Raw genomic sequence first — 19,624 nt, 5'->3', positions numbered from 1 at the left:
AGGATGAAGAGAGGTTGCTTAATGGGTTCAAAAATACAGTGAGATACAAGGAATAAGTTCCAGTATTTCAGAACACAGTAGGATGACTATGGCTAACTGATGTACGGTGTATATTTCATAATATCTAGAAGATATGAAATGTTCCCAACACAAAGAAATGATAAATGTTCGAGGTGACTGATACCCTAAATACCTTGATTTGATCATTACACATTATAGGCATATATCAAAATAGTATACATGCCCCATAAATATGTATGATTATTACATATCAATAAAAAAGGTAAGTGGGTGAGCCAAACAGACGTCATATTAGCCCAAATAGTATGTCACATGTTAAAAGTAATCAACAAACCAAACAGAAATAAGAATAATGATAATGGTTACCTAAGCACTAACTTTGTGCCAGGAATCATGCCCATAGCTGTACATACATTACCTTATTTAATCCTCATTAATTTTAATTATTTAATCTTCACTAAATTCCTAGAAAAGAGATATTATCTGTATCTCTAACATACAGGAAGAAAATATAATCCATTGCCATTAAGGAACTTGACTAAGGTGACACAGCTAGTATACGGCAGAGCTGGGATTTCTGTCCTGGTGGATCTGCCCCCAAGGCCCTTGGATCATCCTGAAACCACCAGTCTCCACTGTCTCCCCATACCCTGGGACAACCTGGGTTCCATGGGAGACAGATTCTTACAGTGAAAAAGAAATTCCTGCAGAGCCATCCTCATCTAGACCTTTCCAATACACAAAACAAGCTGTCAGAGGGCAGGGAATCTCAGAAAAGGCCATGGGCCATGTTCACAGAAGTCCCAAATACTTCCTTTGTGATAAGAACAACAGTTTACTCCAAGCAGGGAAATTTCAACACTCCCTCTCAATTTCACTTCTCCCTCTGTGCAGGTGTGTGTCCAGGACAGGCCCACGAGCGGGTACAATTGAACCACTGATCTGGGATCTGGCACCCAGGGAGAAACTCCACGTATGGAGTTGCAAGATGCTATGCTGGGAAGTACCTCAACTCTCACTATAAAGCTCTAAACCTTTCCATAATGTGTGTCAAATCATTCCTTCAAAGCAGATAATTACACTGAAAGCATATTTCAATGACAAAACACTAAAGTGAATATATATTTTTAATATAAATGAATATCCTGCTAGTAAGAAACAAAACACTGTTTTCCTTAGAAATGACACAGTCAGAAACCGTTCTATAACACCCTTTACTAAGACACAGCTCCCAAAGGCATATTTCTTTCAGTGTTCCTTTGTCAACATTCCTACAGAAGAAACTTGGAACAGACCCCTACTTCCATTATACCAAATACAATATGCTACTTGACATCTTAAGAGCTTAGCAAATCATCCATCCATTCCACCATCATGAGAAAAAGAAACTTCCTTCATAGAACTTACAGCATAGTAAAGAAAACAGACATTAGTCAAATAAGTAAGTTAAGAGAAAACTACAAGCTCTGGTAAAACACATTATGTTATAAAACACCCCGAAAGAATATATTCAAGTCTCTCATGCTAGCAACTTCCTCCCACAGCAATGGACATTCTCATACTCAAAAGCCAGTCTGCTGAGTAACTGCTGGATCAAACCAATCTGAAAGGCTAAGACTGGGGGCATTTTCTAAGACTTCCAATCAGGGAAAGGAGATATCTGAGCACTGATGAATCTTTACTTGGAGACAGGTTTCAGAAGGTCCTGCTTCTCACCACCACCACCCCCTGCATCGTGTGGCTGCTTAGACAACTGGGCTGATACGCCTTCCAACTGGGCTCCTGCGGCTAAGCCCCATGTGTTCCTGTAGCCTTTGATCTTCTTGTAGCGCAAATCCAACACGCTTACACGGAGAGATGCATCTACTCCCAACCACCCCACACACCTCAAAGCTTCTCTCTGCCTGGGCTTGCCAACTGACACTGCAAGTGGAGGGGGAAAACAGGAGAAATCATTCTGAAAATCTGCAAAGGCAGAGAAGAAGGATCCAGAAGGAAATCCCTATAAGGAAAACAGAATTGACTCCCACATCAGAGAGCTGCCCAAGTGCAAGCTCCAATGCTACAATGTCCTAGCTGGTGAGACCTGCTCAAGTCATTGATCTTCTTTAGAAGATGGAGATAATATCAGCCCTTGCTTCTGAGTAGAGTGTTTCCAAGAGAAAATGGGCCAAATGATGTAAACCATTTGAAAACTGGAAAGTGTCCCGTGCATGTCGGTGGTTGCTGTCACCAGGCACTTCAGAACACAGGGGTCTCACTTCCTGCTCTACCCTAAACCAGCCACATCATCTCTGGGCTACTACACTTCTCTCCTAACTGGTCTCTCTGTCTTCATTCTCTCCCTCTGCCCCAATCCACTCTGCACACAGGAGCCAGAATATCTTCCTTAAAATCTAAATCAGATGGTCTCATGGTCCCCTTCAAGGACTTCTCATGGCCTCTACCATGGTCTGCAAGACCCTGTGTAATAATCTGCCCAACCCTCCAGCCTCACCTCCTCCCATCCTAACCCACTGTCACCATGCTCCAGCATGGTGACATGAGTAACTGCTGGATCTCCTTCCTGTCCTCTAACACTCCAAACCGCTTTCTTTCCCACAACCTTTTCACCTGGTGTTCATTCTGCCCAAAAACCTCTTCTCCTAGATAAACACACATTTTAACTTCAACATAGAGTAAGAAATACTTTTTATATTATGACTCAATAAACACACATTTATAATGGTTAAATGCAATGCACTTTCATATATATATATATATATATATATATATATATATATATATATATATTTTTTTTTTTTTTTTAAGACGGAGTTTCGCTCTTGTTACCCAGGCTGGAGTACAATGGCGCGAATTCGGCTCACCGCAACCTCCGCCTCCCAGGTTCAAGATATTCTCCTGCCTCAGCCTTCCCAAGTAGCTGGGATTACAGGCATGCACCACCATGCCCGGCCAATTTTGTATTTTTAATAGAGATGGGGGTTTCTCCACGTTGGTCAGGCTGGTCTCGAACTCCAGACCTCAGGTGATCTGTCCACCTCAGCCTCCCAAAGTGCTGAGATTCCAGGCATGAGCCACCGCGCCAGGCCTTGTATTTTTCATTCTATTTTAGCCTACCCTATTGCATAACCCAAAAACTGTGATTTTGCGACACACTCACAACCTGAAGAAGATTGTCCTGGCCTTTCATTAGCTCATTCCTTCTGGGCTCAGTTTAAATGTTACCTCTTTAGGAGAGGCTTTCATTGACTATGTTATTTTAAATAGGTTACCAGGAAATCTCTGTCTCATCTCCCAATTTAAACTCTTATCTATTCCTTTCTTGAGACAGAGTCTCGCTCTGTTGCCCAGGCTGGAGTGGAGTGGCATGATCTCAGCTCACTGCAAACTCCGCCTCCTGGGTTCAAGTGATTCTCCTGCCTCAGCCTCCCAAGTAGCTGGGATTACAGGCGCGTGCCACCACATCTAGCTAATTTTTTTTTTGCATTTTCACTAGAGACAGGGTTTCGCCTTGTTGGCCAGGCTGGTCTCAAACTCTTGACCTCAAGTGATCCACCCGCCTTGGCCTACCAAAGTGCTGGGATTACAGGCATGAGCCACCGTGCCTGGCCTACTAGACTACTAGAATATAAAGTCCATGAGAACAAAGACCTCGTCTAATTTTTTCATTTTTCTCCTCCAGTGCTCAGAACGGTGTATGGCCCATAATAAACGTTCAACAGATGCATGCAGAATGAATGAATTGATCCCCATGTGGCCATCAGTCAGCACCAAAGGCATGTCCCATCAGTGACCCAGAACTAAGAACAAATGCATAACTCAATGCATTCCCAAAGGAAAAGGAAGAAGAAATCCTAAGCGGAATGTTATGCTTCTCTTGCCAATGCCCCAGAATGGTGTGGGCCACAGAATCCATCACATCCTTGGGCCCCCTGCAATGGAATTATAAGCCAGGATCCCAACCCACCCTGCAGACCGCTCAAGACAGTTTCCCTGCCTGCCACTTGAGAAGCTATAAATCTACCGGCTTGATTAAACCCGTCAACCATTCTGCGTTTCTTGGAAAAGAGACTTCCTCCTAGATTGTAATTTCCATGAAAGAAGATCCTTCATTTCACTTTCTACAAAACACCCAGTGCCTGGACAGACTTTTACAGAAGCGTCCAGTGAGTATTTGTTGAATCAATGACTACTGTTTTTGAGGCGAGCTTTTTTACCATTCAAAAACTATGCATTTGTTTAAATCATCCACTAGATGGCAGTGCCATTCCACATCACTGCCCTGTAGTTTCTACTTCCAGGGATCTAGGGATGGGCTGGAATTTAAAAGCATTCCGTGCAGAACCCTGCAATCAGGGAACAACTCTGGATAATCAGAGTGGAAGGTTTCATCAAAGGTGTACCACGTGCTCAACAATGTTCCTAAAAGTTGAATTTTTAATAAATGTGAAGAAAATGATCAATACATAGCTGAACACCTTGAGCAAAACACCTGACCCCTACGAGAAACTCAGTTCCCTCATAAAACGTAATTCAAGAAAGTTGAAATGGATGATCACTAAGGTCCTTCCCTCTCTCTAATTCTATATCATGACACTGGCACTAAATAACATGGTCAGCAGGCAAGAGAGCCTCAACATCCCTCCCCAGATAGAGACGTAGAAAAGCAAACTGGGTGAAGGGAAAGGGCTGCACAGCCAGTGCTGGAGTTAACTCGCTACCACTAAGCTATTTATCCTATCTGAGCCTCAGTTTCCTCATGTGTAAAACAGAGTAGTAACCACATCTATACCTCTTAGGGTGAGGATTCCAGAAGATTCCATGTAAAGTGCTTAACACCATACCCAGGCCATAAATATGCATTCAACAAATGTTTCCCTATATTATAGTTGCTATTGATGTGGTTAGTGGCAGTAGTAATATCATCACTGTTCTTTTTTTTGTTTGTTTTTTGATGTTTGGTTTTTGGTTTTTTTTGAGAAAGAGTCTCACTCTGTCGCCCAGGCTGGAGTGCAGTGGCGCGACTGTGGCTCACTGCAACCTCCGCCTCCCTGGTTCAAGTAATTCTCCTGCCTCAGCCTCCTGAGTAGCTGGGACTACAGGCACCCACCACCATGCCCAGCTAATTTTTGTATTTTTAGTAGAGACGAGGTCTCACCATGTTGGCCAGGATGGTCTCGATCTCTTTACCTCTTTAGTGTTAGATTTTTATACAGTTTAATTTAGTTCAGTTACAACTAAAAAGCAATGCCTGAGAACTGACCTGAACAGACCAGAACCTGCAAGATCTGGAACCCAATCCTTACACTCAAAGTACTTAGAAAGTGTGACTAGGTCAAAGGCAAGAACATAAAGGACTATAATAAAAGAGCATAATGGAAAACATCCACTGAAATACAGAACTGTCAAAGTCAGGAATAGTGGCATCCAATTTGAGAACAGAAAATGGAGCGGAACAGGCCAATCATAAGGATATTTACACATTTTATATTAAATATACTTCATACTTGAGCAGCAGTTATATTTGCCTTCTCATGTATAACATAAGTAGGACAGATATTTCATGAGTATTTAACAAATAAAGGAAATAAAGCTTAGAGAATCTAAGTAATTTGCCCTAGGTCACAGAGTAAATACACAGCAGAGAAGGTTTTGAGGCAAGGTATCCTCTTTGCCAGCCCAGCGTTCTGGTCCCTACACTGTGGTAATTCAGAAGACATTCACAGCCCTAAAAGAAAATGCTGGACTCATTCCAGACCAAGTCTGCAATATTTGACCACGGAGAGAATGGATCTGGTGGAGAAGCACCTTTGTTCCAGAGAATGCCATGCCTACAGGGTAACTGTGCTGTGGGCCTCCCAGATTCAGTAGGTGCTAGAATAACCACACACCTGCTCAACTCTGAATACTCTGAATATCTGTACTAATGATGCATAGTCATCTAATCCATAATTTATACCTGCTTAGAAACTGGAGAGCTGGGCAGACCTGGTCACTGTGAAGCACAGCCAAAAAGCTTTTCTTTAAATATAAGTTAGTTTCCAAATCCTAAATGCCAAGTGATGCCAGAAGAATAACTAAAAAGTCAGGGCACCAAGACAGATTCTAAATGGAATCCCAAATTTATCATGGATTATCTGTGTCTGTGGGATAGTGCCCATATCCTCATGTCAAGTTGGGATAGCCTTTGTATCTCGTGAAAATAAGATTTTTTTTTTTTATTTTTTAGGTTTTTCAATCACATTTGACAAGATTTACCTGAGTAGCTATGCCACTTCAAGAAGCACTTCCTCCGCTTTTGTTTCTTTTTCCCTACTCAGGCACAAGATCTTCAAGGATAAATTAGTATTTTCTGCTTTGTAAAGCACACACCAAATAGTCAATGCTGTTTATTGGCTGGCCAAGAACTGATCTACAAAGTCCATTATAAACCTTTGTTGCTGCTACAGTTGTCATTGTTGTTGAGTAATGGTCCTTATCACTACTCTAAAAACTGGATTAAATACTTATTTCAAAGCAAAGAGTTCTGAGAACACCACATTCCTATCCCAAGATGTGTAACCAATTGTGGTTGGGAGGGGATTGAACTCCACCATCTCCTGAGTTACTTCAACCTTTCAACCTCTGACTCTACTGTCCTCATATGAACTTTCACCTAACAGAAGTACTGGCATGGTATCTGTTCAAAAAGAATTAAAATTTTAAAAAAAGGGCCGGCCTGGAAGCCACGGTAGCCTCTTTTGGCAAACATATGACAGAGGTCAAGCAAACTGTTGAGTTAAATAAGATGACATTTTTAAAGCCAAATTTGAGGTTCCACTAGGAAACTCCCTATCTCCAAGAAGCATAAACTCCCTTAGCATGCCAATCTTCATGAACTAAATAAAAATGGTCACAGCTCCACGGCTGCGATGGCTCCATCATTTTTCTTTCCAAGTGAACTACTTTTTAAAAGACACCATGCAAACCCAGAAAAACCAAGCGCAAATTTAAGAATGTATTTTCTTGAAACAACATTACCAAAGCACAAAATATATACAGGACAATAAAGCACTGCTTTAAAATAAAAAAAGAAAGAAAACTAATGTCAAGTGCTGGTTGAAATAATGAAAAAATCAATATTAAGGAAGGATAACCAAAGTGTTTGAGATGCTAACATTTCAAATCACTGATAAGAGGCAGGAAGTCAAAAGGTAAAGTAACAGAGGGCAGAATTAAGGCCAAGGGTGAGAGAAACAGGAAAAGAAATGTCAGTATGAAATGAAGACATCTAGCAATCAGGGCAGCCCAACAAGGAGGTGGTCATCTCGGCCAGCAGTGTCTTCCACCTTGACAGGCGGGAAGGCTACAAAGGATGGGGTGGGATGGGAGGACACAAAGGCAGTCCAGGCATCAGGCACTGGATGAGGGATCAGGAGCAATCTCCTGGCTTCCCAGGTCCCTTCTAACCCTAAGATTTTCTAGCAAAGAGCAACCAGCACATATCCACAGCATCATGTACAAATTGAACACTTTATTCAGGATACTAATAAAGTCTCTTACCTCCTGAAGCTGAGATTCTTTCTTTTTGGAAGACAAATTCAAGTGTTTTTCTAAGATGCCACAATACTTTTCTGTCTCTTTGTCATACTTCTTTTTGGCTTCCTGGCAAAAAAAGAGAAGAGAAAAAGAAAAAGAGTAACACGTTGCAGGAATAAAAGCAGCCTCCATCTCTCAAGATCCTTCTGCTCAGAACACAGATGACGACTCAGCTCCTACTTTTCAGGTAATGCCCATTAAATCCTGCAGCCACCCATCAACAGCCCCCTGAGTTTGAGTGTCTAGCAGAGAGGCACCAACCAGGACAAGACCAGAAATGAGGTAAATACGAATATCTAATGGTGGCAAAGCCAAGATTCCCCCTCTAAGAACTTTGTGAAACAGAAATTTCTACTTTCTAACTCACAAGGATATTCAAGGCCAGAAGGCAGCCAGGGGTTGGGGGCTGGGGAGCAGCAGCAGTGGGGGTACCTATGAAGCTAACACCAAGGAAGGAAGATATCCTCACAGCTTGAATGAGACAAGTCTAGACTAAGGCTAGATCCAGCCTTAATACTGTCCCAAAAACACTTCTTGGTATGTAAGCCTAAATATCTCTTGACACTTAATATCACATGCAGGTCTTTAAGCTGAGGAATAATTCAAAACAACAATATTATCTTCACACACATTTGTTTACTACGGCACCATTTATGCTAGCAAAAGAAAAATAAAAGCAGCAGCAGCAACATCACTTCCAAGGATAGCGTTTGGCATAATTAAAGTACGGAACATCCAATAAGCATAACTAGTCATTGGAAAACTAGAGAGAAAAGTAAAACAGCATTATATAAACTTGCTGCATCCTACATAGAGTGTGTCTACCTATGGACAAAGATGAGGTGGGAATTTACTTATAGGCAAATACCTGAGTTATGGTAATGGGGTAACAGTTATTTTTCTCTTCTCTTTAAGAAATTATTAGCCGTATTATTGTCTTCAAAATGAAAAATAATTACCATAATTAATCCCTGCTCCCCACCACTGAATCATTGGGTCACTGTGGTTCTATTTCTATCTCCCATTTGACTGATAAGAAAACTTGGACCCAAAGAGGTGAACTTGTGAAAAGTCACGGAGAGTGACAGAGCTGGGATTGGAGCCTAGGACAATGTGCCTCCAAAGCCCATGTTCTCCACCACAGCTGAGACAGATTGTCACAGGCAGTCTGCCTTCCTTCCACATTCCAACGGGGAGAGCAGGCAAGGAAGCTGGAAGAAGGTTGGCACTTGGCTGATAAACGGGATCAAATTTGCTAATTGGGTACATTATTCCTGCTTTTGACTCATGTGGAGCCTGAACCCATAGGGATGTTTTTCTGCAACTCCAAAGCCTAGAAGAGAAAAAATATTTTCTGGCCAAATAAAGAAGCTCAGACACATCTCTTTATTCCTTTAACAAATTTATAATCAGCAACCACTCTGTGTAAGGCTCTACTTTAGGCACCAGAAATACAAGACAAAAATGGTCCCAACCCTCACGGTAGAAATGTTCTAGTAGGAGAACCATGATTAACCAGTAAACAAATAATCAGCATAATTATAGACTGCTGCAAGTGCTACAAAGGAAATAAACAGGGCGCAGTCACAGAGATTCTGTAGATAGGGCACCCAGGAAAGGCATCATTTGGGGAAGGGAGATGTGAGCTGAGACCTACCTGTGAAATACAGAAGGAGCAGAGTAGAGCCTTCTAGAGCAGAACCATCAAGTGCAAATGCCCTGGGGCAGGACACTCGGAGCCAGAAGCCATCACCCGGAGCCCTAACAAGCTCCGCTATGTCAGAATACCACTCCTCTGGTACATGCTCACAGAGTGGGCAGAATAACCATATATCCATTTTAGCTGACACATACTCATTTCCATGAATCTGAGTTTTGCTTAAAAGACTGTTCACATACAAGAACAATTAAACATTTAGCAGCAAATGAAGAAAAAGCCTGAGGACACATTACTCCTTCAAATTTGAGGAGGGTACAGGCAAGAGACTTGACTCAAGCAATTCTTTTCCATTAGTGAAACCAGCAACTTTGAACTGGGGCTCCAACTCCAAATGCTGCTCACATGTATCCGCTCCCACCAGCCTTATCAGCAACTCCAAAAGGAGAATCCTGGTCCCAGACAGTCCAGCTGGCCAGAGGTGAGAAAAGGCCAGGGAACATGAGTCACTGGCATTCTGGGACATTCTGGCAACTTGTGCCTCCACATTCCATGTTTAAGAGGACACCCAAAGTTAGAGAAAAAAATAAGGAGAAAGGGAAGCCGTTTCTGTCCTGAGAAAACAGCAATAAGACCTCTGCAGCAAAAAAGTACTACAGCTTAGATAATGTTCTTAAGATGGGAGAGTGTGTCCATTACTCAGGACACAAGATGGTTTTCACCTTCCAGAGAGTCTACTGTGGGGTAGTTAAGTCAAGGATTGAGTTAGAATCCTAAAATTTATTCCCAACTCAATATGGACTGGCTAGAAACAAATCACCATCCCTCTCCAGGACTCAATTTCCTCAACTATAAATTGAGGATGATTAGATAATTGCTCGGGTTTCTTCTTTCAGCTCAAGGACCATATAACAAAATAAAAATAAGAACACCCCCTCCTCAAAGGATTTCTAGGGTTAAATGAAATAAACCACATACAGTGCTTGGCAGGGTGCCTACCACATGGAAAGTGCTCAATAAATGTCAGCAATGGTGGTGACAGTGGTGAGCTCATCACCTAAACCTGCCTCCTTCTTATCAAGAACACACCTGCTTTCCATGTCCTGTGTGCCATGAAGGTAACCGTCCCAAGAACCTACTACAATTGGAAATTAGACATTTATTTGTATCTTTTTGTCTGATGTCTTTCACCCCAGCTACTTCATGAGCACAGCAACCACGCCTGCCTTGTTCTCCACCAAATATCAGGGCACAGAACAGTGCTGGCACAGAGCAGGCTCTCACATATTTTTTAAACAAATGAACTGTGTGTATCTAATATAATCACTAACATTGAATGACTACATGACCAACCTTGTTCTCATGTTCAGGTAGCTATACGACAGACACCGTTTTAAGCATTTGATAGGAGTTCACTCACTTCTTCTTCATAATAACTCTACGAGGCAAGTTTTATTATTACCCCCATTTTAGAGATCAGGAAACAGGCATGAAGAGGTTTAGTAACCTCCCCAAGTCTACATGCAAATGGCAGAAGTGAGATTTGGATTCAGACAGTCTAGCTGTAGACCCACTCTCTACGCTACTCTCTTATGTCTGTTATACTTATTCTAGAGTCCAGCATTCCAAATGTACCTCTAATACAGGAAAAAATAATTTCCTCAAACTTGGAAATAGAAACTTAGGGCCATGGTTATGTCAAGCACCAGGGGTCGTGCCCTACTCCAGAGTAGCACATTAGCATAAGAATGCCCAAGAATCTTCCTCCCTGGCAGCCTTCACATGGTGCACTCTCCAACAGGCTGTTATGGCAACCGAAGCAGCACCAGAGAGTGGAGGAGGAGGAAAAAGTAATTTTAGCATGGCACAGACAGAGTTCAGAACCTCCACTTGGCCAATACCCAAACCAGCTGAAGAGCACTTGCTGGCTCTGAGATGTTCTTGAGACTGCTCCCTGGGTCGCCTAGAAGTGGATCTGTTGTTTGCTTGTTTGTTGTCTCTTAAATTTACATAATGTTATGATATAAATGTATGTGTGTGTGGAGTGATGCAAAGGAGGACATGCCAGGAGGAAAAAATGACAAATGGGGAAGGATGAGACATCACCCAAATGTCATCACAATTCTTCTTTAGTGATCATCCAAAAGTTATTTAATAATCAATAATTATTCATGGTTTAATGAATAGGAGAATAGAATATGCATGAGGGGAAACATGCTTTGGTGAGTGACTACTTAAATTCTTTTATTCTAGTATGTCACCATCTATACCACCCCCCAGCCGCCGCCCCGGGGGACAGTAGCTCCTCCTATCATTAAGATCACTGGTATCAAGCCCAAAGGGAGCTCACTCAGACTCTTGCCTCACCTCCTTGGTAACCATGGTAACCCTCAAGCCAGTGAGAGAAGAGGCCAGAGAGAGAGGCATCTGTGCTCAGAAGGAGAAGTAACTACTGAAAAGATGACTCAACAAACAGCTCTGCTCTGCCTCAGTCTCCAAGCTCTGCATAACCCCCGGAAGCCACTGCCAAGCATGTTCAAGAGTGGGGAGGCACAGGCCCCAAGGCCACCAAGAGGAGCCCTGCGGGCAGGGCCTGCACTGCCAGGAACTGAGGGAGCATTCGCTCACGGCTTATTAACTGCCATCACTGGACTGGTTCACAGTCTGTATGAATTCTTAGTGGAATAAGACTTTGTGTAAATTATACATTCCTTAATCTCTGATACAGCACCAGTGAGCTCCCACTTCCTCATAAATGTGTAAACTAAAATTAGTAGAAAATACTCTAAAACTGGGAGAAAGTCTTTGCCACAGTCCCTCTTTCAAACTGTAATCAACCATCCCTCTGAAAGACCCTGACTAAACATCATCTTTTGCAGGCCCTAATCATATCTATTTCCAGAAAGCAGATGCACTCAGGGGTGTGTGTGTTGTAGGGGTGAGGAATACCTCATTTTGCAACTAAGCAAAATCCACACAAAGTAAGAGGGTGGTGTTGCCCAAAAGCCCCTGCAGGTGGCGTAAGAGACCGCAGCTGAATTGACTCACAGTTCCAGAAAAACAGGAAGAAAACGTTGGAAATCTTTTTGCTTTCATTGATTCCAATGAAAACATCTTCTCTGCAGGTAGCCTCTAACACTCTACCGAAGGTCAAACCAGCTAGAGTTTCCTAGTGATTTTTTTTTTTTTGGACATGGAGTCTTGCTCTGTTGCCCAGGCTGCAGTCAGTGGCGCGATCTCGGCTCACTGCAACCTCCACCTCCTGGGTTCAAGCGATTCTCCTGCCTCAGCCTCCCGAGTAGCTGGGAACTACAGGCACCCACCACCATGCCCAGCTAATTTTTCTATTTTAGTAGAGACGGGGTTTCGCCATATTGGCCAGCCTGGTCTCGAACTCCTGACCTCGTGATCTGCCCACCTAGGCCTCCCAAAGTGCTGGGATTACAGGCATGAGCCACTGCGCCCAGCCCTCCTAGTGATTTATTACAGGGCAAAGGAGCCCTGGAGAATCCACCTTTTAAAAAGGAACAGGATTCCCTTTGCAGTCTCTCAAGAACACATTAGAATTAGTCAAGCTTAGGCTACAGTCCCTCCAGGTCAGTGATAACAAACGGTGATCTCCAGGTTGAAGCAGGCCTGCAGATGTCATTTTTTGACCTGCACAATGGGTAATATATATTTTAAAATTATTTGCCAACAAGAAATTTCACATAAAACTGGCTTTTCAGTTTGTCTTGAAACATTTAAAGAATCAGCAAGAGAGGGCCCATTTCCAGACCCAACAAAAATCAGCTAAACCTAAGTACCAGCTGCCTCCTTTTAAAGAAAGTCCCTGTACCCACAGGGCACAAATTTGTAACCCCTGCTTAGGCTGCAAGTCCTGGACCTCCACAAAATACAATTCCACGAAAACAAATGTATTGTTCAATAAAGACAATTGTCTAAGCACACAGCTATCTATTATAATAACACAAATGAGGTGTGGTTTCTACCTTTGGATGATTTATGAACAAGCACAGAACAATGAGGTAACAAAATACCAGAATGGCCCCTCCGGGGTTGACGGCTCAGATGGTCGTACTTCAGTCACCCGTAAAGAACCGATGAGTTGGGCTCTATAGAGTTTTCTGCCTAAGATTTTCTGAAGAAGGTGGGCTTCGATTTTCTGAAGACATTTCTGAAGACTTTGTTTTAAAGAAAGGTGCTATGTTTTCCAGACCTCTCACCCTAAAATCCAGACCAAAGCTTGCAAAATTCTCACCTTGGCAGCCCCGATCTGTTCCTTTCGAAACTTCTCCAAGGGAGTGATGAGCACCTCGCTGGCATTCTCAATCTGGTGAAGAACAACAGAGTAAGGGAAAGAAGACACAAAAGCAGTATCAGTAAAGAATTACAGCAGCTCCAGCATGAGATGCCTCCCCATGTCTTAAAATAAAATTTGGGGAGGCAGTGTTGTACATGTCAACTGTTTACAACCTTCGAACTAATAGCATGTCAAATCAAAACTGTCATCATTTCAAAACATGATAATCTTCCTCCCATGCATGATTAATACTGATTATTTAAAAGTAAAAATGAGGAACTCTAAAACTGTAAGCGATCCTCTGAAGGGGCAGAGGGGAACTGGTAAAAGAGTGGGGTCTAAGTTACAAGCTTCGGTGACATTTTCTTGCAAATATTCATTTACCCAAGTTATGGGTAAAGTAGATCAACACTGAGTCTAGGTTAAAAACAAATAAACAAAGAAACACCTCTGGACATCTGATGGCATAAAAACCTTCCAAGCTTGATTTTGTGTTGCTCTACCAAGACAGGACTGGACTAGAGCCAGGACACCTGTGCCTCCTGACTACTGGCTGCCTCTCAACTTCATCTCACAGGGCTCACCCCTCAGGTCCTGCATTCCAACCTACTGGCACTCCAATGCACCTCAAACGCACCAAACTCGTCCCACCTCAGGGCCGTAGCATTTGGCTATTCTTTCAGACACTGTGTTCCCAAACCCTTACAGGGACAGCTCCTTCATGTAATTAAGATTTCAGCTTAAAGGTCACCTCTTTAGGGAGGCCTTCCCTGACTACCAACATAACTCAACTTCCCTCCCCTACCAAGTGTGTTCTGGTTCACCACTACACACTACACATTTATACACACACACACACATGCGTGCACACACACACACATACACATCAGTATCTTGTAAAGGCTCACTTTGCCACCACTATCCCCAAAACAAAGAAGAGTGCTGAGACAAAGCAGCACTCAAACATATTTGAACGACTAAATGAATGAATGGATTAATTCTTGATTGGCTGCCAACTGTGTGACCATGGGCAAAACATTTAACCTCTCTGGGCTCTAATTTCGTCATCTGCAAAACGAGTGGGCTGAATTGTCCATCGCTAAGATTCTATGGTCTTTTCTAAGGCAGTACAATATTTTACAGTTTTTCCTTTTAAGTCATTCATTTATCACTCTTCGCTCAACTAATTATTCCAGGAATCTCGCTGCAACAAAGCATTATTTTTCCTAAACCACATGCATGTCCACTGCAATGAAACTAACCGGGTAAATGCCAGAAGTCACAGATGGACACAGTAAAGAACTAACTGAACAATGTAAGGGACAGAAAAAGTCAAGTCTCCAAATTTATTCCCATTTGCCTTTTTCTCAATTTGGAGATCACTTATTTCAGAAGAGTGAAATTTAAGACTAGAGTGTTGCGGTGTTAATTTGTTTGATTTTGTGATTTTTATTGTTATTCAATGTTACTTAATTGGTTCACTGAAGTCTTCTCCACAAACCATCTGCAAGTCTCTGAAGCTTACAAAGGTGTGCCAAGCCCCTAAAGTCAATGATTCTCAACCTTAACTACACAGTAGAATCACCTGGAAAGCTTTTAAAATCCCTAAGTTTAGGCTACACTCCAACTAACTCAGAATCCCTGGACTTAGTCCCAGACATCAGTATTTTTCAAACTCCCCAAGTTATTCCAGTGGACATCCATGATTGAGAATGCAGTCATAAGTAGTCGCTTATAAAACGAAAGTGCTCAACTGCTCACCTGGGAATCAGGACCCCCAAGTCCTTCGCCCAGCCATACTACTACTTGCTATCAGCCTTAATAAGACCTGTTTTCTCATCTGTCAAATGAGCAATTGCAGATGGTGAGGAATAAGGTCCCACTTAGTCTAAGATTCTACGACTGTGTAACATCCACTTGGTTCCAACACTGCCTGATGTTGGGGACATGGAAGCCCAGTCTCTGCCCTTGAGGAACTCATATTTACTACAGGGCACAGACAGGTACAATGTTTATCAGGACACAATGTGGTAAACACAGGATCAGAAGCACGAACTGGATGTTAAGAAAATACCAAGGGTAGCCATATAACCCAGGAAGTCAGGAAACGCTTCCCAGAGAAGGTGCGGCTTTGCTTGCTGAGCTTAACTGAACTGATGGAGTTGTCACAGGGCAAGGAGGTAGAGAAGGGGCTTGCTACGGCCAGATACTCAGATGCAGACAGTAGAAACTCAATTCACTGACATTAATAATAAAATTGCAGAGGCAAGCTGAAAAGTATAATCCAGTCATTGTTCCCTTACCACAGGCCATAGCAATCTGCAGGGTATTCATGGTGATTTGCTTGCCACACCCCCACCCCCAAATACTAACTCAGCCAAGAATCAGACTCAAAAGAATCATTTCCCTTTCTTAGGCACCAGCACATGCACAAACACACAAGCTTTCCCTTGCTTCCACCCACCACCAACCCCCACTGCTGCCACCACCACCCTTCTGATTCTGGTTCAGGCACCAGCAGTGAGCAATCAAGAGAAAGTGGTCTTTCCGTAGGGCAAAAGGTAAGAGGTTTCTACTCTGTTTGGAGTTTTAAAGAAATCCTTTTTTTTTTTTTTTTTTTTTTTTTTGACACAGGGTCTTGCTCTGTTGCCCAGGCTGGAGTGCAATGGTTCAATCACAGATCACTGCAGCCTTGACCTCCCTGGCACAAGCGATCCTCCTCCCTCCTCCCAAGTAGCTGGGACTACAAGCATACGTCACAATGCCAGTCTTCTTAAAAAAAAAAATTTGTTGAGATGGGGTCTCACTATGTTGCCTCCAGACTGGTCTTGAACTCCCAGGCTCAAGCGATCCTCTCACCTCGGCATCCCAAGGTGCTGGGATTACAGGCATGAGCCACCACACCTGGCCCCCACATTTTTTAATATTTTTTAATATAATGCAGACTTGGGTTTGAACCCAGACTGTATCACTTATTAACTGTGTGATCTGTGACAAGTTACTTAACCTCTGTAAACCTCAATATCTTCATCTGAAAAATGGCGATAATATAGATACCACTTCCCAGAGTCATCATGGGGGTTAAAATAGAAAATGCATCTTGGTGAATAGTGTTCGAACTACCAACTGTTAGCATGGGAAGAAAAGAAAATGTTGATTGATGCAGTATTTCCTAGGACTTTAGAGCACTGCTGCCTGAAGACACGCCCTCCTAGCAGAAAATCAGTGTACAGGCAGCAGGGGACTTCAAGTCAGCAGGGGACTTCATTCCTCATATCTTAGGGATATGGAGAAAAATGCAAAGGAACTTCCTGTAGATGTGGAATCTCTTATCTGCTAATGCTGAACTATATCAGAATAAATTATAGGCAGGGTTGCTCATGCCTGTAATCCCAGCATTTTGAGAGGCAAGGCAGGAGGATCACTTAAGGTTTGGAGTTCGAGATCAGCCTGGGTAACACAGCAAGACCTCATCTCTACAAAAAACAAAAATAAATTAGCTAGGCACAGTGGTGCACACCTATAGTCCTAGCTACTCAGGAGGCTGAAGCAGGAGGATCGCTTGAGCCCAGGAGTTTGAAGCTGTAGTGAGCTATGATGGTACCACTGCACTCCAGCCTGGGTGACAGAGTGAGACCCTCTCTGTCTTCCAGAACAATAAATTCTAGTACAAAAGATATCTCTTAAGAACCTGGAGATCAGCATTTGACTCTTAAATGTGGACAATGCCTCTCTGAAGAGCTTTTTATAGTTACCTTCATTACAAAGTACCTGTTTACTGGGTCCCTCCTACCTGGCAGGCACTGTGTTGGGTGCTTAAAAATGAAGAGGGAAGTGATCCTGCCCTCAAAGAGCTCTTGATCAGGTTCAATAAGATGGGGGGAGGGGCAGAGTGGGGCACCTTCTTTCCCATTCTGCTGGTAGAGAATCCGACGCCCAAAAAAGTGAAATAATTCAAAAGATCCACCCTTAAGTCATACACCTTATGAAAAGACCTTAAAATGAATCTTCAGAAGGACATCATTTAACTACGTTGTTCTAAAGTTATCCACCAGAGTAATCCTTTAATATTTACAAAAGCCTTCAAACTCTACAAAGATGAGGCTTGCTGAAGAGCTCAAAACATTCAAATGGCAGAGTCTGGATTTGAATCTAGTTCTTCTGATACCCATCCCTTGCTCCCTCAACACGAATATACTATCTGGGACCAAGAGTAGCCCAGCCCTACTCACCATCCGTATCCGTTCATCTTCAAGATTCCTGAGGACAGTGGCAAACTCCTGCAAAGATCTTGCTGGAAAACAGAAAGGGGCCATGAGGTGGAAGGAGTGTCATGGGCCTTGGGGAGCCTTTCCAGCTCTGGCTATTATGTTATGGATTTTAATTCCTTGGCACATACAGATGCCTAAAGTCAATTGCTTCCCAAGGCTCCCTTCATCTTTTTAATCATTAACCATTAAGGATGACCCAGAAATGCAGGTTAATTCCACCTGGCACTCTAGCTAGGGAATGATTTCTTCAAGGAAAAGATCTGCCTGTTCCTGAGAGTATCCAGGACTGGTGAGATGCTGGCAGGCTTCCAGGCCCCGGGCTGGAAGGGGCAGAGTTCCGCTTAGGAGTTGAAGGATTTCCTGTCTGGATTCGACCTCCTCAACCTTTGTCATGGCGTTGCGTCAGAACCCAGCCTTTTCTTTGGCACCAGAGCTAAATAAACAATGCTGCTGGCATTGGAAGCCACATCTCTGGCTTCTCTTTGGGTTCCTCCTGAGTCCTCAAGCCACTCATTAATAGAATGCAGCTCGAAGCATGGTGCTCATACATGAACAGTCGTCTTTGCCAAAATTATTCATAAAAGCAATAAGCATTACGTGCAATGGCCCTGAGGATACTCGAGACCCTTGAGCCATGTTGGGAAAAGCAGCCATACATTCACAAGTTACAAGGATACATTTTCACCATTCTCAGCTGTCTCCCAATTGCCTGTACTCAGCCCCAGATGCTGATGTTCTACATGGCAACAGGAACTCAATAAGCATTTGATGAATTAATTAATCCAATAAAACTTTCTCAATTCTCGCTCATTTAATGGAGTCAACCAAGGTGCCTATAGAAGAATAGTGTGCAATGACAAGGCCCTGGCAAAGAAAGGTGTCTTGACATTGCGAATCCTCCATGCTTACGGCTGCCTACAGACCAAGGCAGGTGATGGTGAAGAGTGAAGCAACACACCGTGGTGATAAACAGTAACCCACCTCAGCCTCTTTTTAAGGAAACAGGAGTGGCGGGGACCTCCCTGTCCACAGCACAGGAGAACCAGATACGGAGCTCCTCTCCCTATCTGAAGGCAGTGGCAGACGCATAGCTCAGCCAACTGCTGCCAGGTCAGAAGAGGGAGCCAGTAGATCAAATTCTCAAACTTTTCAAAGAAGCTGGAAAACTGGAATTTTAGATTATAAATTGAATTTATATGGTAATTCAATTTTAAAAAATGAGAGCCAAAGAAAACTGGGCTGTGTTCTCATCTCAGCCTATTATTTTGCAACCTCTGATCTAAATTTCCCCTCATCTACCTGTGTTCTACATATGCTCTAAGCTCTTAGTACTATGGTTGAAGGGGAAGAATGTCACCAGCCGGAAAAATACTAAAGGGAGGTGGAAAGGAGAGTCCCACTGCAAAACTTCAAGCTTTCTCTCCTGCATGCTGGAGGGTGAGGCAATCCCAAAACTCGAGAAGACCAGAGTAGCCCCAAGCTCCGATCCTCACATATCTCTGGCCCTCCACTTCCACTAAGGACTTCTTTGTTTACTAACCTTAGAGACTTCCTATCTCAGGGAAAAGGCTCTGCTGGGACACTGAAGGCTATGACAAACAATGAACATTTTTATCTTCTGCACAGTTATGACTTACCTATACACATCTCATCATCTGTTTCTGCATCTCCTATGCACTGAAATTTAAATTCATTTAAGGAATCTGCAAACTTCCGCTTCGCTGAAGACAAATCTAGCAAGAAAAAGACAGGAAAAATCAGGAATTACTAAAATTAAACTGGCTTTCTGAT

General features: G+C 42.9%; 1 protein-coding gene across 40 annotated transcripts in view; it reads right to left on the bottom strand.

The window, feature by feature from the left end:
* ARHGAP26 (Rho GTPase activating protein 26) overlaps positions 1 to 19,624 on the bottom strand; it is a 458,635-nt gene that overhangs the window by 336,046 nt on the left and 102,965 nt on the right. For all 40 annotated transcript variants that reach the window (NR_146198.2, XR_007058592.1, XR_007058593.1 and 37 more), the window contains 4 exons: positions 19,471 to 19,566; positions 17,795 to 17,856; positions 13,521 to 13,592; positions 7,567 to 7,668 (listed from right to left, as the gene is read on the bottom strand). Coding sequence is in view for 37 of the 40 variants with exons in the window: in NM_015071.6 (NP_055886.1) it covers positions 7,567 to 7,668; positions 13,521 to 13,592; positions 17,795 to 17,856; positions 19,471 to 19,566 (332 nt within the window). In the remaining 3 variants the exon portion in view is untranslated. The remainder of the gene's footprint in view (positions 1 to 7,566; positions 7,669 to 13,520; positions 13,593 to 17,794; positions 17,857 to 19,470; positions 19,567 to 19,624) is intronic.

Source organism: Homo sapiens, chromosome 5 (genome assembly GCF_000001405.40).
Source record: "Homo sapiens chromosome 5, GRCh38.p14 Primary Assembly".
Classification (NCBI taxonomy): domain Eukaryota; kingdom Metazoa; phylum Chordata; class Mammalia; order Primates; family Hominidae; genus Homo; species Homo sapiens.
Note: the sequence above shows the minus strand (reverse complement) of the source record. Positions and strands in the feature narration are given on the sequence as shown.